The sequence below is a fragment of the Homo sapiens genome, chromosome 13, assembly GCF_000001405.40.
Source record: "Homo sapiens chromosome 13, GRCh38.p14 Primary Assembly".
NCBI classification, from domain to species: Eukaryota; Metazoa; Chordata; class Mammalia; order Primates; family Hominidae; genus Homo; species Homo sapiens.
In genome coordinates this window covers 99499698-99525011 of record NC_000013.11, presented here as the reverse complement: position 1 = coordinate 99525011, position 25314 = coordinate 99499698, and the positions used below count along the sequence as shown (strand labels likewise).

The 25314-nt window shown below is 40.4% G+C and overlaps 1 protein-coding gene and 1 long non-coding RNA gene across 2 annotated transcripts in view, besides 3 other annotated features; one reads left to right on the top strand and one right to left on the bottom strand.

Moving 5' to 3' along the window:
• TM9SF2 (transmembrane 9 superfamily member 2) overlaps positions 1–23540 on the bottom strand; it is a 62577-nt gene extending 39037 nt beyond the window's left edge. The window contains exons 1-3 of the mRNA NM_004800.3: positions 23235–23540; positions 7331–7398; positions 4883–4976 (exon numbers count right to left, since the gene is read on the bottom strand). Coding sequence (NP_004791.1) covers positions 4883–4976; positions 7331–7398; positions 23235–23405 — 333 coding nt within the window. The 5' untranslated portion in view covers positions 23406–23540. The remainder of the gene's footprint in view (positions 1–4882; positions 4977–7330; positions 7399–23234) is intronic.
• Positions 23160–23748: an enhancer, noted in NCBI's record as "H3K27ac hESC enhancer chr13:100153518-100154106 (GRCh37/hg19 assembly coordinates)". NCBI's record gives its function as "activates a minimal SCP1, AML or CMV promoter by ChIP-STARR-seq in naive H9 embryonic stem cells {active_cell/tissue: H9 hESC(naive)}" and the evidence as "EXISTENCE:reporter gene assay evidence [ECO:0000049][PMID:30033119]".
• Positions 23160–23834: a biological region, named in NCBI's record as "H3K27ac hESC enhancer GRCh37_chr13:100153518-100154106".
• Positions 23655–23834: an enhancer, noted in NCBI's record as "active region_7951". NCBI's record gives its function as "activates an Ori minimal core promoter by ATAC-STARR-seq in GM12878 lymphoblastoid cells {active_cell/tissue: GM12878}" and the evidence as "EXISTENCE:reporter gene assay evidence [ECO:0000049][PMID:35858748]".
• Positions 23949–25289, top strand: LINC00449 (long intergenic non-protein coding RNA 449). The gene is made up of 2 exons (NR_133664.1): positions 23949–24617; positions 25072–25289. It is a non-coding gene; the product is annotated as a long intergenic non-protein coding RNA 449 (long non-coding RNA).
• Positions 25290–25314: the final 25 nt, after the last annotated feature.

Genomic DNA, 25314 nt, shown 5'->3' with positions numbered 1-25314 from the left:
AAATCAACCAATCCCTCCTCCTAGAAACACTTTCTTGCCTCGGCCTCTGGGGACCACATTCTCCGTTACCCTTCTTTCTCATCAGTGGCTCCTTCTCAGTGTCCTTTGCTAGACTCTCCCCATCCTCCCGACCTATAAAACCAGGTGCCCCAAGGGTCTGAGCCTCACGCCTGTAATTCCAGCACTTTGGGAGGCTGAGAGGGGGCGGATCTCTTAAGGTCAGGAGTTCGAGACCAGCCTGACCAACATGGTAAAACCCTGTTTCTACTAAAAATACAATACCAGGAGCCCTTGGGGCACCTGATTTTATAGGTCAGGAGGATGGGGAGAGTCCTGTGCCTCTTCGAATCTTGTCTTCTTCATCTATACCCACTCCCTTGGGGATCTCTTCAATTCTGTGGCTGTAAATACCATCTATACACTGATGATTCTCAAATATATACTGTGTATATCCAGGATGAAGCCCTTCTCCAAACTCCAAAAGCATATATTTGGCTGTTTATTCAGCATCTCTGCTTGGACACCTAATAAACACCTCTCACTTACCACATCCAAAACTAACTCTTCCCCATCCCCCAACCTGGCTCTTCCCACAGACTGCCCCATCTTAGAAAATAGAAACTCCACACTCCACATCCCATCCCTTGGCAAATTCTGTCGGCCACCTTCAAAACACAGCCAGATTCACAGATTCTGACCTCTTCACCACCCCCTCACCCTTCCCAAGTCAGATCATATTTAGATGAGGGAGAAGGCCTCCTACTGGTCTCCTGGCTTCTCCCCTCGCACCCCCACGGTCCATTCTCAGTACAGCAGCCAGGGTGACCCTGGTAAAATCGAAGCCTACTCAAAACCCTCCAGTGTTAACTAACCATCTTGCTCAGATGTAAAGGCCAATCCTCACAGTGGCCTCTGAGTCATTCTATAATGTGGTCCTGTTACTTCTCTGTGCCCACTGCCTACTATGCTCTATCTTGCTCACCTGCTCAAGTTACACACCTTGGGGCCTCTCTTCAGCTAGAACACCTCCCCCACATATTCACATGGCTCACTCCCTTACTTGCTTCAGGTCTTCTGCTCAAATGTCACCTTCTCGGTAAGGCTTTTTTAAGATTTTAAATCCACCTTTGCAGTAAGCCTATTTAAAATTAGAAATTCCCCACACACCTTCACAGATTTATTTTCAATAGTTCTTTCCTCAGTAATTGAAACATATATTCTGGTAATTTATTTTGTCTCCTTTTCCCCATCAGCATAAAAGATCCATGAGGACAGAGATTTTTGTTTTGCTCACTGCTGTATCCCATCACAGTGCCTGGCACATGAAAGGTACTGAGCAAATGTGTTAACTGAGTGAATGAATATGAGTGCTTAGATCTGAGATGAGATTTTATGGTCCTATGAAATGTGGTTCCAGCTTCACATAATACACACAATGTCTTGCACTGTTGTTTTCCTGACCTAAACAGAAGTCAAATATAAAAGACGACAAAGCAGACTGGGATTTTATTTTGTTGCTGGTTGTTACCTCAGTTTTTACAGCAGATCTAAAATAAGATAAAGCTGGGTGTAGTGGTTCACACCTATAATCCCAGAACTTTGGGTGGCTAAGGCAGGAGGATTGCTTGAGCCCAGGAGTTCAAGACCAGCCTGGGCAACATAGTGAGACCCTGTCTCTCCAAAAAATAAAAAAATTACCTGGGCATGGTGGGCATATCTGTAGTTCCAGCTACTCAGGAGGCTGAGGTGAGAGGATTTATTGAGCCTGGGAGTTCAAGGCTGCAGTGAGCCGTGGCCCAGCCCAGGCCACAGCGTGAGACTCAAAAAAGAAATAAATAAATACATACATAAAGATAAAAATCCTTGAAAATAAAGAATCAATAGTGAAATGAAAAATGTTGGTCAATACATTTATGGCTGGCTTACACCTTGGCCTTAAAATGTGCCTGCTCTGTCCCTTTAAGTTTGGGGCTTAGAGAATTTGTTTTAGTACAGATATGGATCCTGAAACATTCCAGAAGACTCAGGGAAAATGTTGGGTACACAATTTCTCCATTCTAAAGCTCTCCTTTTATTATATTTAACCTCAACTTCTACAACAAAGGATTAAATCTGAAAAGCACTAGGCCCCAAAAAGGGTCCTGTGTATGAGCAAGGAACAGTCCTTGCACAGAAACAGAAATGTGCCCAATGACATCCTACTAAGGGGAGTAACCTGCCTTCAAAGTCTGCCCCAAAGGGCAACACCTCCCCATGGGTTTGAGTATTTTGCTGGGTTTCCTTCTGTTTCCTGCTAGGGACTCCTGCTGTCTTCCCAGTTCACTAAGGGCATTACTGATATTCTTCCCACCCATCATTTCTCAAGGGCAAGACATAAGTAGAGAGATGGGGCTGAGAGGCTGCTGGAATATTTAAGATTGTAAAATTTAAAAAGCATGCCTGAAAACAGTCATCTGCTATAAGAAGAATGCAATACCATTCAAAGTAATCTTCCAAATACCCCAAGAGGGAAGAGGTGTTTCGCAAGTTACATGCCTGCCCTGCTCAATGGCACCCATGTCCATACACTTTGAGTTCCTTCCTCCTCAATGACTTCATCCCATTAGGCCTTTGAATCTACTGTGTTTAGGAAACTTTAAAAGTTACTGGCAATTTTAGGGTAGACAATTTCAGATTAGAATATTTGAAAGGGGCCGGGCATGGTGGCTCATGCCTGTAATCTCAGCACTTTGTGAGGTCGAGACAGGCAGATCACCTGAGGTCAAGAGTTTGAGACTAGCTTGGCCAACTTGGCAAAACCCCATCTCTACGAAAAATACAAAAATTAGCTGGGCATAGTGACACACGCCTGTAATTCCAGCTACTTGGGAGGCTGAGGCAGGAGAATCACTTGAACCCAGGAGGCGGAGGTTACAGTGAGCTGAGATCTTGCCACTGCACTCCAGCCTGAGCAATAGAGTGACACTCTGTCTCGAAAAAGAAAAAAAAAGTATTTGAAAGGCGTCAGACGGCGGCTCACGTCTATGTCTATAATCCCAACCCTTTGGAAGGCTGAGGCAGAAGGATTGCTTGAAGCCAGAAGTTCAGGACAAGCCTGGGCAACAGAGTGAGACCCTGTCTCTATAAAAAATTTAAAAATTGGCTGGATGTGGTGGTATGCATCTGTAGTCCTAGCCACTCAGGGGAGTGAGACAGGAGGATCACTTGAGACTAGGAGTCTGAGGCTGCAGTAACCTATGATTGTGCCACGTCACTCCAGCCTGGGTGACAGAGCAAGGCTCCATCTCTTAAAAAAAGAAAAGAAAAAAAAAGAATATTTGAAGAGGATATATTTACAGTCAAAACCAATCAACTTGTAGTGGATTAAATTTGCACAGTGATGTTTCTTTTCCCCCAGGGCTTCACAGTGTAGGTGCAGGTGCTGGAGGGAGTAAGACGGTTGGTGAGATGAATCTAGGCTTCGGGATTTGCTGGACAGATAATAAATGTTGTGCTCCATGTAATAAAATGTCGAGGGAGATGGGGGTGCCTCGTGAGAAAGCAGGGAAGGTGGCTATGGATGAGGTCTAAGACATAGCAGAGACGCGAAGCCAGGAGAGGAAGCTGTCGGGCTGGGGAATAACACCTGGAGTCAAGTTAGAGCCATCAGAACACACATTCTCATGTGGACAGATGCCCATGGTAGAGAGTTAAAGGAAAAATGCAAAGTGTGGCATATAGTATGTTAAAACAAATAAGTAAATCTAATCTATTTAATGTAAGCTTATAGGTGTATGAAAATTTTCAGGAAATTTTAATAACAAACTGTGAAGTGGAACTGCACATTTATTATTATTTATTCTTTTGCATCATTTAATTTTTTTATATGGTGATACATTATTATAATAAACTACTTTAATGTTTCTAAAAGCAAAAGACCATTGTTCTTTGTACAGTAGGAGAACAGATACAAAACAAACAGGGATTATGCAATGTGGAAGGATAATAGGCTTAAAAGATAACAGATTTAAAGGCAAAAGAATTCTGAGAGATGATGAAGTACATATGTTGAAAAGAATACCTTATATTGTGCTTAGTTTGGTTTAACTGGTGTTCGAAAAATGTACCAAAGATGTTCCAAATACATCAAAATAGAAAGGTTAGGCTAGGCATACTGGCTCAAATCTGTAATCTCAACACTTTGGGAGGCCGAGGCGGGCAAATCACTTGAGTTCAGGAGTTTGAGACCAGCCTGACCAATATGTTGGAACCCCATCTCTACTAAAAATACAAAAAGTTGGCTGGGCATGGTGCCATGCACCTATAGTCCCAGCTACTCGGGAAGCTGAGGCACGAGAATTGCTTGAACCCGGGAGGCAGAGGTTGCAGTGAGCTGAGATCTCACCACTACACTGCAGCCTGGGCGACAGAGCAAGACTCTGTCTGGAAAAAAAAAAGAAAGATTAGCTTCCAAAAATCCCAGTGCGGGAGCCCAGGCAGCATTGTACGTGCTAACGGAGAGTGTCTCTAGATACTGCTGGAAAACAGGGGGAAAGAGACACAGAGCAGCTGAGACAACCTCTCATGACTGGAAGCTGGGTTCCAGGACCCGGGTTTCAGGACCCTCTGTAAAGGAGGCAGAGCATCTGAGCCCTGCCCTTTAAGCCACCGTCTTAACATTCCTAACATTAGTTGCGTGAATGTTCATTAAGACAGACTTATCAATGACACACTGTGAGAAGGAGAAGGATCCTTCTAACTTTGATTTTAAGAACCTATTCCTAGATGAAAAAGAGAAATGAACTCCTCCTTAGCAATGATAGCTGAGTTATCTCAGGCTTTTCTTAAATAACAAAAACAAAAGCTGTAAGTAAATAATTATTATGTAACACTAAATACAAACCTTATATGGTGAAGGTTCAATTCTTTCCCCGAATAGTACCTGACCAAGATTTTCAGATGGGCGCTTTCCTTCTGATGCTTGGCAAAAATCAAACCTGGGAGAAGAATATTTAAATTTTTACACATAAAAGGGAACGATGAAATATCAAACACCTAGCCAATCTTGAGAGCAGATTAGGTACTGATCATTGTAGCAGCTCTAGTAGATGAGTAAGAAATCTATCCATACTCCAAGTCCTATGTACCACATCTCTCCTCATAAAAAAACAAAACACCTAAAATTATGCCTTCGAATATTTTTTTCTAAATAACATTCTCTTATTAGAATGCATATTACAATATCTTTTAATTGACTCATTATAATTCATTTTTGTTCACTCCAATAATAAAATTATTTAGATCCTTATTATTCAAGCAAATTTTGCATAACTTATCTCCTTGCTATTATCTAATTCAAATCTTTAATTAAAAATGACATTTCAGTAATGTATGTCAAGTCTACCTGCAGTTGTCTCATCTCAGTACACTTGCCAACACATCCCAATATGTGAAGCATGGCTAAAAAGACCCTCTGTGAAGAGTGCTGTGGAGAAGATGTAGTCAGTCACCTATAAGATTCCCTGTGTTGTAATTCCCTTGTATTACTAACCAACTTTAATAAAGTTCTGTTTAAACATTACAGCTTAATTTCAGCTTTGCCACAGAAAATTAAAGGGCAGTTCTGTGCTCACTCTGGAATGATATGGGGAATATCTGAGATCAGTACAGTAATAGTAACAGATTAGTGAGATTCCTAAAGAGGAAGGTGGGTCTCTGGTGATTAAAAAAAAAAAAAAACTGGGGCTGGGAAGTTCCCAAATGAAGATTCTCCACAGATCCACTGACTTTTCCTAAGAATATCCACAAAGATTTAAAGATGTTTAACAAAACAAAAACTGGAAAAAAATTTAAGTATCCAATAATTAGATGAATTATAGTCTACCCATTCATGTCTTCTGTATTCTTTTCTTAGACATACTTAGATATATGAATTCTTTAGGATAGTCGTAACTTTTTTGTGTATACTTTTCTCTACAGCAAACTATTTTCTTTTAAAACTCTTAAACAGCTGAGAAATTAAACTAAATTTTAGCAACAGTTTTAGACCCAATATGGTATACAATGGTCAAATGAATAAAGGATATTCATGCAGCGTTTTTCACAATATCAAAAAACTGGGCCAGGCACAATGGCTCATGCCTGTAATCCCAGCACCTTGGGAGGCCAAGGTGTAAGGATCACTTGAACCCAAGAGTTTAAGGACAGCCTGGACAACAGAGTGGTACTCCATCACCACAAAAAATTAAAAAAAAAAAAAAAAAAAAAAATTAGCTGGGCATGGTTGCACACGCCTGTAGTCCCAGCTATTCAGGAGGCTGAGATGAGAGGATCACCTAAGCCCAGGATGTTGTGGCTGCAGTGAGCCATGATCGTGCCACTGCACTCCAGCCTGGGCAACAGAGCAAGACCTTGTCTCAAAAGCAAACAAAGAACCTGGAAATAATCAAATGTTGGTAAATAGGAAACTAGTGAAAGTAAGTGTACATGGAATCTATACAATTTCTAAAATGGAAATAATAACAGCTACTAAAAAGAGTGAGGTAGCTATGTATTGACATGGAAAGATGCCCACAATGTATTCAATGAGAAAAACAAGGTGCCAATCAAAAATAATAGTATGGGCCAGGTGCAGTGGCTCACGCCTGTAATCCCATCACTTTGGGAGGCCAAGGTGGGTGAATCATTTGAGCCCAGGAGTTTGAGACCAGCCTGGCTAACATGGTGAAACCCATCTCTACCAAAAATACAAAACTTAGCCAGACGTGGTGGCATGCATCTATAATCCCAGCTACTTGCGAGGCTGAGGCAGGAGATTCGCCTGAACGCGGGAGGCAGAGGTTGCAGCAAGCCAAGATTGCGCCACTGTACTTGAGCCTGGGCAATACAGTGAGACTCTGTCTCAAAAAAATAAAAATAAAAATAAATACTATGAATCTACTTCTGTTTAAAACAAAAATGTATAAATGTGATTATATAGATTAGACTATTTATTCAGAGAAAAAATGTGGAGGTAGACATCAAAGTAGTTATTTCTGGGAACTGATTATGTGGGACATAAAAATTTTGTTTAAAAATATGTGGAGCTATTTATAATTTTAAAATGTTAAGAAAACAAAATAGCTTTTTGTTTAGTCAGATAAAAAAAGAAATCCATTGTTTAGTCAGTGCTTCTGTTGTATTACAAAGAAACATTAAAAAAAAGATCACATTTTTAACCACACCTTGGAAGAGTACACCTTAAAAAATATTTTCAGGCTTGTCCATAACTGTGAGAAAACAAAGTTCTCAATGTACAAAATTCTGATGAGTCACATAAAATTTTATATAAAAGCCAAGCTGAAAAACTTACGCTGTGTATTCATAAGGAAGAACTGATTCCACTGAATCAAGTCTGTTCACAAATAGTTCTATTTCGGCCTGAAAATAAGGAAACACAAAATTAGAATATAAACAACAGGACACAAAGCCTTAAGTCATGCTTAGAATTAAAAAAGAATTTGACATGTCTGAAATGTAAAATGTTATAATTCCAGTCAACTTTAAACAATTCTCTTACAAATCCATTCACTGACTGGATTTATATACATTTAAAATATACCAAAGTAAGGCCAGGAATGGTGGCTCACACCTGTAATGCCAGCCCCTTAGGAGGCTGAGGTGGGAGATCACTTGAGGCCAGGAGTTTGTGACTAGCCCGGGCAATACAGCGAGACCCCGTTCCTACAAAAATTTTTTTTTAATTTTTTAAAATTAGCTGGGCACAATGGCATGAGCCTGTATTCCTAGCTACTTGTGAGGCTGAGGCAGGAAGATCACTTGAGCCCAGGAGTTTGAAGTTACAGTGAGCTATGATGGCGCCACTGCACTCCAGCCTGGGTGACAGAGCAAGGCTGTGTCTTAAAATTTTTTTAAATAATTAATTTTAAAAATACACAAATAATTTTCAGAGTTGCAAATGTCTCCAATAGTTTTTAAATGCTTTCTAAATTTTCTAAAAAATTAATAAGATATTTTAACTAAAAGCATTTATCATATTAATATAGATGCTGTTTTTAAAAATCTGGTTTCCAAATTTGGTATTACACTCTGCAGCACAAAAATTTTTAAACAAATTTTTTTAGCATTTTCACAGCAAGCAACCAAGAAATGCTGCCAAGTTGGTTAGAAATTTCTAGATTAACTATACTGGAAATACAATTCCATGCACATGTACTCTTAAACACACAGGGATAGCCAATGACCACATGGTCTAACTTTGAAGGACCTCTTCCATCAATTTAAGAACACTGAACTACAAGGTAGTAGCAGTGAAGAAGGTGGCAATGACCAGATCAAGCTCAACAACAGGGTAGAGGGAGATAAGCTGTATCAACTTCCTGGGAAATATAGGCTAATTTTAAGCTACACTTTCCTACTGAAGCTTCCAAAATTTCTCCCAGGTGTAGCTGAAGTCCTACAGGACCCATAACACTGACCCACCCTCTCAAAAAAGGAGCTCAGGCTACTCATGACAGAATTTACTAGCTGAAGAAGCCAGCAAGTCACGTGTGCCCTGAAGTACCTTTGGTGCTAATCAAAAAATGATTAAGAGCTGTTCAGCTGGGACAAGTATTTATTTTATAGAGTTAGAGCTGTACACTGCCTTTGGACTAGTCATGAGGCTTCTGGGAGTGCCACGGAGCCACACTTGTCATTTTGATTTCACTTACTAGTGCTGTCAACAGTCCTCTACACTTGCTAACATCCCCCAAAGCAAGACGAGACGGTTGGTGTACAATCAAAACAAATCAATAGTCCACTGCCACCAGAAAGGCAGCAAAACACAGCAGGCAAGATTACAGGTTCTGTGGTCAAACTGCCTGGGTTCAAATCCCGGGGCCATCACTTGTCTAACTGTGTGACTGTGGTCAAATTATTAAACATTTGACCACATGGGTCAAATGTGCTTCATGGGTGCTTCAGTTTCCTTAACTGCAAAATGAGGATAACAGTATTTCTCGGCTGGGCACAGTGGCTCATGCCTGTAACCCCAGCACTTTGGGAGGCCAAGGCGGGCGGATCACCTGAGGTCAGGAGATTGAGACCAGCCTGGTCAACATGGCGAAACCCCGTTTCTACTAAAAATACAAAATTAGCCGGGTGTATTGGCACATACCTGTAATCCCAGCTACTGGGGAGGCTGGGGCAGGAGAATTGCTTGAACCCTGGAGGCAGAGGTTGCAGTGAGCCAAGATCACACCACTACACTCCAGCCTGGGCAACAGAGCGAAACTCCGTTTCAAAAAAAAAAAAAAAACCAGTATTTCTCATAGGGATAGGGAGATTAAATAAGTTAACGTTTACAAAGTACTCCAAATAGTGCCTGACACATGAAATGCTATGCATTTGTTAAAATAAAACCAAATAAATTTAGTAATATTCAGAAGAGGGAAGTGTTCATCCACTAAAATGCTCACCCAATATTCATGCTATACAACAGAGGGCATTAGCCTTTGCATGTAATACCGACAACAGCATCATATGTGGCCCCTACACCTCTACTCAAGTGAAATTATAATGCAACAGCAACACAGACTTCAACACAGCTAACAAGGTAATAGGACATGATATTGTAGCAATACAGCATGCTTGAATTAACACAAATACATACAACCGTTGTGAAGACAAAATTCCCATTTAATGGCTTCCTTTGCCAAAATAATTTCCACTAATTAGAAAGGGTCAACACTGCTATGAAGATATGTCAGAATTCAAATGATCCATTTAACATAAAGAAGACTGAAGGGTCTCCAAAATACTAGTCCAGTTCCTATCTCTCGATTTCCTTCTAGGAAGGAATGCAGCTATTATACTCTACACAACTTTTCTATGTTTTGTTTTTCAAAATCTGTACAGCACTGTCAACACATAAGCCATGTCCCTCTTGCTACAATTAAGCGTATTCCTCACTCTCAACCTTTCTCAGCACGAAATGATTAAGAAGCAAGACTCTGAAGCTAGGCTGTGTGGGTTTAAATCCTGCCTCTGACACTAGTTGTGTGATTCTAGGCAAGTTTCTTCACTTCCCTGTTCCTCAACGTTCTGATCTGTAGAACAGAAGTGATAATAATCCCTACTTCAAGAAGTTTTTGAGAAGATTCAAGAGCAGCACCTGGCATAAAGTACCGTATTTACTATTACATAGCCATGTCCAGCAGAGTTTTAAGCAATGATGGAAATGTTCTTCAAATATGGTGGCCACCAGCCACATGTGGCTATTGGGCACTTGGAATGCAGTCAATGTAGCTGAAGAACTGAATTTTAAGTTGTATTTAATTAAATGTAAATAGTCCCAGGAGGCTAACGGCCTCTGTGTTAGACCAGAAACAGAAAGAACAGCACGGGAAAGAACAGCATGATGCTCAGCACCCTTTACGGCCATGTGTCACTTAACGACAGGGATGTGTTTGGAGAAACGTGTTATTAGGGGATTTTGTTGTGGGACTATCACAGAGCATACCCACACAAATCTAGATGGTGTAGCCTACTACACACCTGGGGGTATATATATGGTGTGGTCCATCACATACTTAAACAACATGGGATTGTACTAAATACTGTGGGCAACTGTTAACACAATGGTATTTGTGTAGCTAAACACATCTAAACATAGAATAGGTACAATCAAAATGCAGTCTAAAAGGAGAAAATGTTACACCTGCATAGGGCACTTACCATGAATAGAACTTGCAAGGCTGGAAGCTGCTCTGGGTGAGTGAGCGGTGAATGAATGTGAAGGCCTAGGACACTACTGTACACAACTGTAGACTTACACACTGTAAACTTAGGCTATGCTAAATTTTTTAAAAATAAGGTAATTACACTGTGATGTTACAATGGCTATGATGTCACTAGGCAATAGGAATTTTTAGCTCCATTATCATCTTATAAGGCCACTGGTCTGTCGTTGACCAAAACGTTATGCGGTTCATGACTGTATACAGTGTTTCTTCATCTATTTAACATTTTTCCTCTAGCCACTACAATCTTTTCTTTTCCTGGAAAAATGACGCTAATTTTATTAGTCTATCCAAGAGGCTGGCAAACTTTTCCTGTAAAGGGCCAGAGAGTAATGTCTTAGGCTTTACAGGACATTGGGTCTCTGCCACTGCCGTAGTGCAAAAGCAGCCGTAGACACTACATCCACAAGTGAGCATGGCTGTAGCCCAATAAAACTTTCACTTACGGCACTGATATTTTATTCTCATGTAATTTTCACTCATCCCTAAATATTATCCTTCTTTTGATTTGTTTTCTCCAACCACTTAAAAATGTAAAAATAATTCTTAGCCTGAAGGCCCTATAAAAACAAGCAGTAAGCTGGATTAGAATTCTAGTACTTCCTTCAGCACTGTTTTCCAGGTATTTTTCACTATTATTTGAATTCAAATCTCAGAGGGTCGAACACAAGGCATAAAGTTTGAAAGCCTGAGGCCATGTGAAAAATTTTAGGACACTGTCTCAGGGCATATAAATTTAGGGTAAATGTTTCTCCCATTTCTACCCAATTGATGAAGTAATACAAATTTTTGCTTAGCTTATGATGTCCTCTCTGAAGTTTCATGGGACAACTTTTGGCTCTAAGAGTCTAAGATTGAGGGAAAACATTATTCTCATTTTCTGCACTCTCTCCTATCTCCTTTGAGTCTCAATCTTCTGAATCACCTATCTCCTTGATCATGCCAGCTGCTCTTCTCAGGACCTTGCCCTATTCTCATATCCTTCTTAAAAGGCATGTCATAGAGAATTACAGCAAAGTTTAAGATTTACATGTTAAAGTTTCATGTAAGTATAGAATAACACTGTTACTTTCATTAGCCTTTCTACCCAGAAGCTTAAATTCTTCATGGACAGTTCTTTATTTCCTTCCTATGTTCTAAACTGACAGCTTGGAGCTCATCATCTCAAAAACATGGTAACTGTTTCTCTTCAGATATACTTTCTCAATTTGTCCTTGAGCAAATTAATTTACTTTTTGCTGTCTCATATAACTTGAAGAGAGCTTCTGAAAATATATTTTCATTAGCTTTACATTATGCTACATACAGAGATTTGTACCACTAGCAAATTAAAGTATTTCATGTGCATTCTCTTTTCTAAATTTAAAACCCAAATTAGCCTCAAGCACCAGTCCTGGAAATCTCCACTGTCAGCACTCCCCATGGATTTCTCTCACTCCACCTCACTCAGCCCTTAAGCCAACCCAAGCCACACTTCCTTTAAATTCCATTTTAACCTTTAAAAAACAATGTTGTCAAAACTTTAGAAATCAAACTCATTGGCTCCTTCTAAAACTACAGCAAATCTTCCAGTAACTCTAGAGACCAGGAAAACTTCTTTTCCAGAAACCATGTTAATCTTCTGTTTATAAAACTTGGTGTCATTTAAACCAATTACTATCACTCTTATTCCATTTCAGTACATAGCCCACGGGGGGTTTTCACACCCTTTCCTCCCTCATTTTCTTATCTACATGTTATTAGTTTTTATCCATCTACGTTTGGCATTTCATCTAATATCTAATACCCATTAAATGTACCTTATTTGTCAACCCTTCCTGATCTGATGAAGCAGCTTCCAATTCTCCTTAGAAAGAATGTATCATCAGAATGCTGGGTTCACTTCAAATCCTAGGTCTACTTTTATTAAGTGCTCTTGGGCAAGTAATAATTTTGAATGTGGGAACTGAATGATATCATAATAAAATAGAAAACAGTACACGCAGAAGCTGGTCCATAATTGGCACACAATAACTATAACAAATAATAAACATAGCAGCTGTAATCTATTATCTTAAAGAAACTGCCATTCCTGAGTCTGAATAAAGGTTTATCAGCATAAGGGTTTCTGTGAAAGGCTCTTCCTTCCTCTCGTCTCCCATCCATCCAAGTAGTGCAACTAGGCTATTCCAGTGTTTTTAAAGGACACTAAGACAGTCAGCCTTCTGAACCTTATTAATGCCTATCCATTATACTTGTCCTGGCCACTAGTCTAGGGAAAAGGAAGATAATAACTATCACGCACAATTCTGATAGTAGCCTCATGAACTAGGGATTCCTTGCTTCTTTAACACGAGGAAACAAGTTAAAAAGCTGGACTGCAGAAACAAAGTAGGTAAACTCAACTGTTGCTACCGTAACTTTTTATTTCTGATGCTTTTATTCCTCTACTTTTCTTCCTTCTTGTCTCTTCTGACACCTTTCCACACTACTTTTGTAAGAAAGTCTATCATAGATATCAACACTAAATTATGGACCTATTTTTGATGTTCAGCAAAGTAATCAAACACAGCTTGAATATTCAGTTCATCTTAGCTTTCACAGCACTTTTATTCTTCCTTTTCTAAATTGTGAGGATCTGAAATTTCAAGAATTACCATCTCACACATGCTGAGGAATGTGAAGTCAATTAAAATTAAAGTCAACCTTAACACAGAATATAGAATACAGCCATTTACAATATATTTGTAAATATGCTACATTTGCAATAACTCTAAATATCAACTCTTGCAGCAAGACAAAGAAATTTCAAAAGTGTCATAAGAATGAGATCCTCCTAATATGTCAGTGGAACAATTGTTAAAAATTGGAAGAAAGGAAATGAGACTGCCGGGGAGTTTATATAGTTCAATAAAGAGCTTCAAGCTGAACCATGTGAAAGTATGCCACAGATGTCATGACATTCACCCCTATAAAACATAAATACACACAAATAAGACAAGTATGAAAAAATGTAAACAACTGTTGATTCTAGGTGGTCTAGGTGAGTGAAAGGTGATCATTACACTACTCTTTCAACTTTTTGAATTTTGAAAACTGTCACAATTAAAAGCCAGAAAAAGGGCTTTGAAGTTGAGAGTAGACCTTAGTCTCACTGTAAAGCAACAGAAGGCAAACAAAAACAATAAGAAAGATTTAAAAAGTAAAATTTAGGGTGGAAAAGTGTTCCAGGAGCAGGAACGATGATCTCAGGAGAAGCCAATTTATTAAATAGGAAAAAAATAGTAGAATTTGCAATATATTTGAAAACCAAAGAACATTTACAACAACAGATCCTGAAGACCACGAGAAACTCAATCAGCCAATACATGTATTTAATGCCCACAAAGTCCTATACTAGACATTTTGGATGACAAAATAATACAAATTCATGAACACTTGCCTTCAAAGAATTTATAATCCAGATGGAAACACAACGCATGTGTTTGAATATATGTCCTTGTCTAAATCTCATGTCAAATTGTATTCTCCAGTGTTGGAGGTGGAGCTTGCTGGGAGGTGACTGGATCATGAGGGTGAATTTCTAATGAATGGTTTAGCACCATCTCTCTTGGTGCTGTCCTCCTGATAATGAGTTCTTGTGAGATCTGGTTGTTTGTAAAGTGTGGCACCTGCCCCCACTCTCTCTTGCTCCTGTGTAACCATATGACACGCCTGCTCCTGCTTCATCTCCTGCCATGAGTAAAAGCTTCCTGAGGCCTCCCCAGAAGCAGAGTGATGTCGGTGCATGCTTGTACAGCCTGCAGAATCGTGAGCCAATTAAACCTCTTTTCTTTATAAATTACCCAGTCTCAGGTATTTCTTTATAGCAATGCAAGAAGAGCCTAACAAAGAAAATTGGTGCCGAGGATGGGGTGTTGTTATAAAGATACCTGAAAATGTGGAACTGGTTTTGGAACTGGGAAACAGGCAGAGTTTGGAGGGCTCAGAAGAAGATAGGAAGATGAGGCAAAGTTTGGAACTTCTTAAGAGACTGTTTAAATGGTTGTGACCAAAACATTGATAGTGATATGGACAGTAAAGTCAGGCTGCTGAGGTCTGAGATGGAAATGAGAAGGTTACTGGGAACTTGTGCAAAGGTCACACGTGTTACGTCTCAGCAAAGAGCTTGACTTGCATTCTATTCATGCCCTAGGGATCTGTGGAACTCTGCACTAAAGAGTGACAACCTAGTATATATGGTAGAAGAAATTTTTAAGCAGCAAAGTATTCAAGAGGTAACCTGGCTGCTTCTAACAGCCTATCTTAGCTGAAGGGTCAAATAAATGATTTAAAGCTGGAATTTATATTTAAACAGGAAGCAGAGCACAAACATTCAGAAAATTTGCAGCCTAACCATGTGGCAAAGAAAAAAAAAGTTTTTTCTGGAGAGAAATTCAAGCAGGCTGTGGGGCAACCGCATGCTACAGATATCTGCATAACTAAAAGGGAGCCAAGTGCTAATATCCAAGACTACGGGGAAAAGGCTTCAAAGGTATTTCAGAGACCTTTGCAGCAGCCCCTCCCACCACAGGCCCAGAGGCCCAGGAGGACTGAATGGGTTTATAGGTCAGACCCAGGGCCCCACTGCCCTGTGCAGCCTTGGGATCCCAGCATTCAGGCCACTCCAGCTCCAGCCATGGCTCAAAGAGGCTGAGGTACAGCTTGGGCTGCCATTTACAGAATGCAAGCCGTAAGTCTTGGTGGCTTCCATGTGGTGTTAAGCCTGCAGGCACACAGAGTTCAAGAGCGAAGAATGCTTGGCAGCCTCTGCCTAGATTTCAGAGGATGAGAAAACCTGGGTGCCCAGGTAGAAGCCTGCTGCAGGGATGGAGCCCCCACAAAGCACCTTTAGTAGGGCAGTGTGGAGGGGAAATGTGGTGTTGGAGCCCCATTCAGAGTCCCCGCCAGGGTACTGCCTAGTGGAGCTGTGAGAAGGGGGACATTGTCCTCCAGACTCCAGAATAGTAGATTCATTGGCAGCTTACACCCTGTGCCTGGAAAAGCTACAGGCACTGAACAACCTGTGAGAACAGCTGTGGGGGTTGAACCTTGTAAAGCTACAATGGTGGAGCTGCCCAAGGCCTGGGAATATTTACCCAATGCCTATAGCCCCTTTGTGTCTTGGAAGTAAGTAACTTGTTTTTGCTTTTTTATTTTACAGGCTCATAGGTAGAAGGGACTTTCCTTGTCTCAAATGAGACTTGGGCTTGGGACTTTTGAATTAATGCTGCAGTCAGTTAAGATTTTGGGAGACTATTAGGAAGGCATGATTGTATTTTGCAATATAAGAAGGACATGAGATTTGAGTATTTTTCCCCACTCAAATCTTATGTCAAGCTGTAATCCCTAATGCTGGAGGTAGGGCCTGGTGGGAGGTGACTAGATCATGGGGGTAGATGTCTAATGAATGGGTTGGCACCACTCCCTTGGTGCTGCCCTCATGATGGTGAGTGAGTCCTTGTGAGATCTGCTTGTTGTAAAGTGTGGCATCTCGCTCAACAGAAAACTCTTTCACTCCTGCTTTTACCATGTGACATGCCTGCTCCTGCTTCACCTTCTGCCATGAGTAAAAATTTCCTGAGGTTCCCACTAGAAGTCGAGCGATGTCCGTGCCATGCTTGTACAGCCTGCAGAACTGTGGGCCAATTAAACATCTTTTCTTTATAAATTACCCAGTCTCAGGTATTTCTTTACAGCAACACAAGAACAGCCTAATACAGCATATATTAAAAAAAAAATGACAGCACTTATTTATATGTTCTTGGAGTAGCTACTGAATCTCTGGGGTGTGTGTGTGTGTGTGTGTGTGTGTGTGTGTGTGTGTGTTTTGTTTGCCTTTTTTTTCCCACTCTAAACATCTTTATTCACCATCCAAAAGAGTTAAGTCCATCTCCTCCCAGAAATTTGCCTTAAATAGAGACAGATGACTCTAGATTATCACTGATGTGACTAGAAAGAACTTCAAGGTTTACTTGCTTCACATTCCCACTTTCAAACTGTCCCCACCTAGGTTATTTCAAGCATGCAAAATTTTGACAACATGAAACATTTTAAGGAAGTTGCAGAATCCTATGTCACTTAGAGAAAGCAAGACTGATTACAATCCTGTACTATGAAATGTTTTATAGAAGTGGTTTTATTTAGAACTCTACAGTCTTCCTTTTAAATTTCTCTCCTAAATGTACAATTTTATTTCTAGTCCTAATCTGCCAGTTCCATACCTGATCCCAGCTATGGTCACAACTAGTCTATTTTTTTGTTTTAACAAGGCACACGGGCCATGCCACAGGACTACACTTTTTCCCATTTCCTAGTTCGTTTCTGCTTTTATTCCCACCTTATTCTGCTATCATCACATCTGTCCCACCCCACACTTACAACTGGATTTTCAAGGGAGAAAGAAATTTCAGTGAAGAGATGTGACTGTACAAGGGTCATGGCAAATGACAAGTCACAAAAGGGTTTGAGATATGGAGGCCATAAAAAAGGAAATCTATGGAAGCTTCAACTCCTTAATATTAGAGCAGTCCACAGTGGCGCCTTCCTGAAGAAGGGAAGTCTTAACTCAGGCACAATAAAAGTCTCAAAAGCAATGCTGGGACTCACAAATGCTTATTTATGAGCTCTGAGTTATCCGATCAGCAATGCCCAGCAACTGATCTCCTAGATAATTACCAGGGTTCTTTCCCCAAAGCCCTGAAAAATACAATTTCAATTTTAGACTATATCAACGAAAGAAGTAAATATAAAACCTGACTACTTAAAAATTACACAGACACATCAAAGCTGCAATGAGTTATGACTGCACCACTGCACTCTAGCCTGGGTGACAGAGCAAGACTGTTTCTAAAAAATAAAATAAAATGAAAATTACATATAATAGATACAGAGTGTTTTCTGGAACTGTCAAAGTCCAGGGTGATAAGCGGTCAGGGATCCCCAGGGGAAAGGCAAACAAGAAGAAGAGTGCTCAGAGTAGAAGGCAGTGGCGAAGAGCCTAGGCTTTTTGGACTCAGTCTTGGGCTTGTTTGCATTCTGGCTTTAATACTTACTAGCTTTGTACACTTGAGACAGCTACTAAATCTTATTGAGCTTCTGTTTCCTCATCTAAATATCACAGAGATGTTATGAAATTTAGCTAAGGCATATACAACACACACAAATCGTAGTCTTTACCATTATTATTAGCAAAGGGCAATAAACAGGTTTGAAAAGTGAGAAGAGGAGCAAAAAGAGAAAAAATTCACAAATTTCCTCCAAAGCCTTTCATAGATAGTTAATTTTAATGAAAATAGAATGAAATTGTTGGATACATGTAAAGCAGCTAAAATTAACTACAAAACTTACTGAGAGACCATGGTGACAGGAAGCTACAGGAGAGAATAGGGAAGTAAGGGTTTGGGCAGCTGGGCTCTAAGGCTGACAGTGCACAGACCAATCTCTGTAGTGCCGATGTGTGTCTGTGTGTTTGTGTTGGGGGTGTGAGGTGTGGAACATATATCTGTGATTTGTTTCAGACGTTCCAGTTTACACCTTTGGAAGTTCAAGTTTACACCCACTTTGGTGAGGGGCCACAGGCAGAAAGACACAATTTTATTCATAGACTTTTGTTGCTTTCTTGATTCTAACTCTCAGATTCACTATAATGAACAATTACAGTCTTAATTTTACTTAAAAATCTAATTTCTGAAAGGCAAACTATCTCAGTTTAACATACCTTTTCAGAAGAAGAAGAAACAATTGCTGGAATGTATATTTACCATAGTCAAAGTAAGTCCTTCCAGTGCCAGATTTCAGATTTGAAAGAGCAACACCCAAACACTAATGAGTTCCCAGAAGCTAAGAATCAATGCTCTTATTCCAGAGAGAACTGTGAGAATGTGAAACTACATATCGATAAATATTTATCACTATACCAATAAATACACATACAGATTTTTTTTCTTTAAGTATTTCAAAATCTTCAAACTACTTCTATGGTCAAATTAAAACAGGTACATATATATTCATTCTGTGTCCGTTCAGATCAACATTCAGGACTATTTTCTTAAAGCTGACTCATTCCAATATTTATACACAACTGCTCCCAGAATAACAAACACAACTTATAAAATGCTTCTAAAAATAACTACCAAGAAAGGAAAGTATGACTGAGTAATTTTCCTTTTTATTAAAAAGTTGTTAAACTAATTCATTTAAACATTGTTTTTAACCACTAGGGGGTATAATTGGTCATTTTTCCTTACAGCAAAGGAAAAAAAATCTTAATCTTTCATCTAAGAACGTGATCTATCCATCAAACAGTAAAAAAGTGGCAGACATTTTGGAGAATTAATACTATTTTTAGTTCTTAGTTCTGAATTCTGGTTGACAACCCAGTAATTACTTGAAAGTTGAAAGCAGCAAAGGTGAACTGCTCACTAATCTTCACCTCTTAGCCATCAGAATGCCACTCGGCACACTAAGATTTGATTTAAAGCTAAAAAGCACAAAGCTAACTGAAATAGTCAAAACTTTTACAAACTAAATTAGAACTGTGGATTTTATCCTGGAATATCTAGTCACTTATAATCAGGGCTTTATTCTACTTATTTCAGTCACACAGTGTCCCTTGATTTTAAGAAAGTAAAGTGAATTCTACAGGAAAGGAATACCATAGCTCAATCTTTTATTACTATGGTTTCAAAACGTAACAAAATAAGGCAAATAAAAGAAAAATATTAAAAGACACAGAAATTTCAATAGCAATGAAAGTAAAACATTTAAAAAGTGTACAGGCTGGGCGTGGTGGCTCACGCCTACAATCCCAACACTTTGGGAGGCTGAAGTGGGTGAATCACCTGAGAGCTCAGGAGTTCGAGACAAGCCTGGCCAACGTGGTGAAACCCCATCTCTACTAAAAATACAAAAATTAGCCGGGCATGGTGGCAGGCGCCTGTAATCCCAGCTACTCAGGGGGCTGAGGCAGGATAATTGCTTAAACTCAGGAGGTGGAGGTTACAGTGAGCCAAGATCGTGCCACTGCACTCCGGCCTGGGTGATAAGAGCAAAACTCCGTCTCAAAAAAAAAAAAAAAAAGTCTTAGGGACCATCACATCACTATTAAATTGATAAATAAAAATTAAAATGATGTGGCAACACAAGGTATTATTTAGTTAAAGGAAATCAAACCTATCATTGTTGAAAGAAATCTGGCAATACTAAACAGAACTAAAAACTTCTTCTTGTCTTTACCTAGAATTTTATATTTGGGGATATGCAAATAATTACTGCTAAATACACTGTAGCAAAGCTATTCATAATAGAGAAAAATTGGGCCCAATCTAAAGGCCCTACAAGTAAGAATGGTCAGGCAAACCACAGATTGTACAGGAACAGAATGAAATAGTATCGGCTATAAAAAGCAATAAGAATGTGCACCTCCTCAATATCCAAATGCACGCACATGTAAAATAAGTTAAAAAAAGGAGGCCATGAAAACATACTCACAGTATCTATGAAGGCTAAGAAAATTAATCAGAAGTTACAGCAATATAAATAGAATTTTATATTCACTGGACTCCTGTTTCTCTGCCAGTAAATTCAACATAAGATAATTTTTAAAGAGAGAAAATTACTAAATCCTCAGCATTCTTCTGATTCTCTCTCAATTTACATCCTGAGCTAAATGCATGAGACAAACTTTACAGTACATAAAAACACTCTACTACCTAAATTATATATAAGTTGAAGATATATTTGTTTCATCTCTACACTATCACAACAATGACAAATATTGCACTTTTCCTCTAAGAAATGCAAAATACCTTTCAAGGGGAATATGTCATAATCAAATATGATTATCCCTATTTTACAGATGGAAAAACTGTTGGTAACAGTATCAATGACCTGCCCAATTTCTCCAACTTCAGATTCACTAACTTAACAGCATCTTTTGGAAAAAATTATTTCCATTTCACAACTCTCATTTCTAATTTTTAAAAGAAGTTCCTTCCACTTTTCTGAATAATGTGTACAAGACTGTCCTCCTTAACAAATACGAAATAGATGAGAATAAATTATTAACATCCTGATTGAAGTAATACAAATTTCAACTGTTTACTGTTATTTATAGCATCTTCTTTGAAAGGCAAAGAAAATAAATATTAAAGTGTATTTCAAATTCTCTACACCAGTTAGTCATATCGCAGGAAAAAAGCTGAAAGTACACCCTCCTGCTCTTCTAAGAGTTGTTTCCATTAACCAGATGTGAGTGTAGCTGGCAATAAAGATAAAAATCCAAACATTTCGGAAAAATGATCTGCTCTGCCTGTTTTATCCCTATACCTATGAAAATTAAACATCCAAAATGACTCCCAAGATTAACTAAAAAATAACTAGAATACAACCTAGCCACTTACCAAAGGACCTGTTGAGAAAACAATCATCTAACTGGAAGACCACCTATAAGTTTCACTTATTCATTTTCTAAGTCCATCTCAAATGTCACTTCTTCTTCTTTTTTTTTTTTTTTTTTTTTTTGAGACAAAGTCTCGCTCTGTTGCCCAGGCTGGAGTGCAATGGCGCGATCTCAGCTCACTGCAACCTCCACCTCCAGAGTTCAAGCGATTCTTCCTGCCTCAGCCTCCCGAGTAGCTGGGATTACAGATGCCCGCCACCACGCCCAGCTAATTTTTGTATTTTTAGTAGAGACGCGGTTTCACCATATTGGCCAGGCTGGTCTTAAACTCCTGACTTCAGGTGATCCACCCGCCTCGGCCTCCCAATGTGTTGGGATTACAGGCGTGAGCCACCACACCTGGCCCTGTCACTTCTTCTATAGAGCTTTCCCTAAAGACTCTAGTCCACTGATGTTTCCTCATTTTGTTTTAGCACACTTTGGACATCATCCTGTGTAACAGATCAGATTTCAATAATCTGTTCATAAGCTTATGTCCCTTACTTTGAGGTTCCCAGAGGGCAGGAAATATATTTTTCATCTTTGAGGCACTAGGAATAGAATATACAACTGCTGTTAAAGTAAGACCAAACACTAGGCCTTAAAGGTTGGTTACTAAAATATTTAATGGAAAAACCAGTGTACTTGCAAGTCTAGATCTTCCACTTGGAAGCACAACAACAGTCTTTCAGTCAGAATCCTCAAAAAGGAGTGAAAGCTTCTTGCACTGCAGAGTATGAACTTAAGTACTGAAACACTAACTGCAGACTTGAGTAAACCTTAAATATCCTTAGATATTTTTTCAGATACAAGGTTTTGCACAGATGTATAAACATGTCATTCAAGATAGCTGACAACCTAAAAAGAAACTGCAAAATGTTATGAAAAATTTAAAGCTTATCTAATGCCCTAAAATAACCTCAAAATTCACAGCTATAGTAAAGCTAACTGTAATAAACACCAGCTTAAAAAAATCAAACTTAATAAATAAGCCTATTTATAGATTGTAAACGTTTGTTGAACGATTATTTGAATTGTTGAAATCATTAAAGGTTTCAAAGAGATCCTCATCCCCCAAATGTTAAGTTTTAAATAAACTTAACGAAATAATTGTGTATGTATACTGTAAAGCCCTACACCATATAACCTAAAAGCAGGTTACTTTATTTACGCCTCTTTTACTAGCAATTAAACTGAAAACCTTGAGTGTGAATGTTGTAAGAGATCAAAGTTTTCAAGACTTGCCCTAGGAAAACACCAGTTTCTCCCACCATTTGCCCCTTTTAAGTGTTTAAAACCATCTCAGAGAAAATAGTGAGACCTCGTATCTTTTTTTGTGTATTAAAATCTTTTACACTTAAAACTCAGAAATCAAGTGCCTCAACCATTACAGCAACTCTTTATTAATGCACTTTGTGTGGCTCTGGGTGTTATACTCCACAAATAAGGAACCAACTTCTAATTGTGAAGCGAGATATCAAAGTCCTAGAAAGAACAAGCTCTCCTAACCAACTAGAAGGTTCCAGGAAAATGCAATTAAACAGGAAGCAATGAAGTTAAAAGCTAATGGAAACTGTTAACTAGGCTGAGTGTTGCTCACATGTAGGGAGTCGGTCACCCGCTTCCTCAGCGTACATGTTACAGGGCTGTGAGCGAACACTCACGCGTGGACCTGCATACATCCAACTCCAAAGCTCTGAGGCGTGAAGCCCAACTCCAAGGGCGCTCCACACGGTCCCTGTTCCAGGAAAACTGAATACAGCTGCTCGTGCCACTTGGCCCGCAAGACGGGAGGCGAGTCTGAGGCCCACTGCGTCCTCCAGAAACTACCCTTGCAAGGGCTGTTTCAGAGCCCCCCACCCACAGCCCAGCAGACCCCAAAAGCTTCTGGGGAAACTCAACCCCACCCGCTGCTACGCCCCCTTCCCTCGCTCCCACCCGAGGATCAGCTCCCCCGGATAGGGACGACTTCCCCTTCCAACAGTGCATCAGAGGGCTCGTCAGGCCTCACCCACCTTGCACTCGTCGCTCTTTTTTTCTTCGTCGCAGAAGTTGACGGGCGCCAGGCCGGGCAGGTAGAAAGCGCCGCTCCGGCGCGGGCCAGGAACCGCCCCCAGCAGGAGCAGCGACAGCAGCAACAGCCGCGGCCACCGAGGTGGAGACAACACCGGCAGCCTCGCGCTCATGATAGTTGTTTCGGGGAAAGGGCAATCAAACCTAGGGGGTCAAGAGGGAAGGAGGGGTGGGGAGTCTCGGAGACGACTACAAGGCCGCCAGAGATAAAGGAAGCCGGCCCCCAGAAGGCTAGTTCCGGTTGCGCTAGGAGACACCCCGGGTCCCGCAACAGAAACCGAAGCGGACCGCAACAGAGCATGCGCACCGCCGTCTGCACATGCTCAGTGAGAACGGTCGCAGGCACCAGGAGGAGTTTCCGGGAGGGAGCGGGGGCGAAATCCACTTTCCGGGTTTTCCGCGCGCCAGCTGAGGTGGTTGCTGGGAGAGGTGGTTGCTGGGAGAGCTGTTCCGGCGCTCACGTTCCAATTCCAAATTACAAATTCCGATCTAGAGCTCCCACGCTTGGGGGCTGTGGAGCGCTCGCCAGCCGCTCCCCGTTTGCTGCTGGGTCTTACGAAGTTCTCATATCCATCATACAGTTTCTTTGTCACACTGTCCGCGGCACGCCAGTCCCTATGACAGAAAGCACCTGCGGTCTGTCTGGAGGCGGAGTTGGTGGCGGAGAGAAAAAGTTCTGGAGACACCTGGTTGGGAGCAGGCTAAGGAAACAAATGGGGAGGAATTAGCCACAAATCCTCAAATAGACAGCTACTCAAAGGCATCTTCACGGACAATTTCCAAGCATTGGATGCAGTGGTGCATTCTTGCATTGGGCAGTGATTGTGTGCACACATCTCTTTAAGGGAGAGTGGAAATGGGGTGAGGAGGAAAATGGGAGTAGGATAGAGTGTAGCGTTGACATTTATTTTCTTTAAAGGAAGACCCGAGCATACCTGAGAGCTCAGTGAAGAAAGTAGTTCTGGCGAATCGGATTAATATGGTATGATCAGCCTTTAGCAAGATTCTATCACTTTTCCCACTGATGATGTGAGACGGTGTCCGCGTGTGTAAGTGCACACACGTGTGTGTGTGTGTGTGTTGCATCTTCTGAGTATTTTTCAAGGAGAAGCTTTTTAGTGATCTGAAAAAGTCAATTCAGTTAGCCACTAGAGTTCAATCAAAAACTTCGGAAGAGTGCATCATCTTAAAGTACATAAGAGAGAATCATGACCTCCAGCTCAGAATTCAAGAATAGGCAGGTTTGTGAAATAGTAAGCTCAGAAAGTTGAGGGCCAGTGAACTCCTATTTCAAGTTCTTGCGGGTGTTTGTACTTTTTTCCCAGGTAAGGTTTATAACTTTCATCAGATTTTCAAAGGGACCTAGGACCCTGCAAATTGATCCATATAGTGGGGTAGCCAAGTTAATCAAGAGAACTGGGAAGTAGAAAAGAACGTTCATCTTAAGGTTGTTGTGAAGATTAAATCAAAAATGGAGGGAAAGTGCTGAGCACATAGCTTGGCCCAAGGAATGGCACTTTTTTTTTTTTTTTTGATAACAAAAACTAATCTGGTAGGGCCTGAGCAGAAAATTGTGCCTAGGTGGCTTCCCTTTCATGTCCTCTCCCTCAAATAAATCAACATATTCGCTGAACTTTGGGATAGGGAAAAATTGTAAAATATTCTGTATTTGGAAGTCATGGAGATTTCCAATATAACAAAAGGAAGCAGACGTTTTCTCCAAATATTAAGAGGAGGAAACAAAAATTAACATTTTTGCTCACTATCTTCTTTTCCTAGCACCACTGAAACTTGACCTTCGGCCGGCGCGGTGGCTCACGCCTGTAATCCCAGCACTTTGGGAGGCCGAGATGGGCGGATCACGAGGTCAGAAGATCGAGACCATCCTGGCTAACACGGTGAAACCCCGTCTCTACTAAAAATACAAAAAAATTAGCCGAGCGTGGTGGCGGGCTCCTGTAGTCCCAGCTACTTGGGAGGCTGAGGCAGGAGAATGGCGTGAACCCGGGAGGCGGAGCTTGC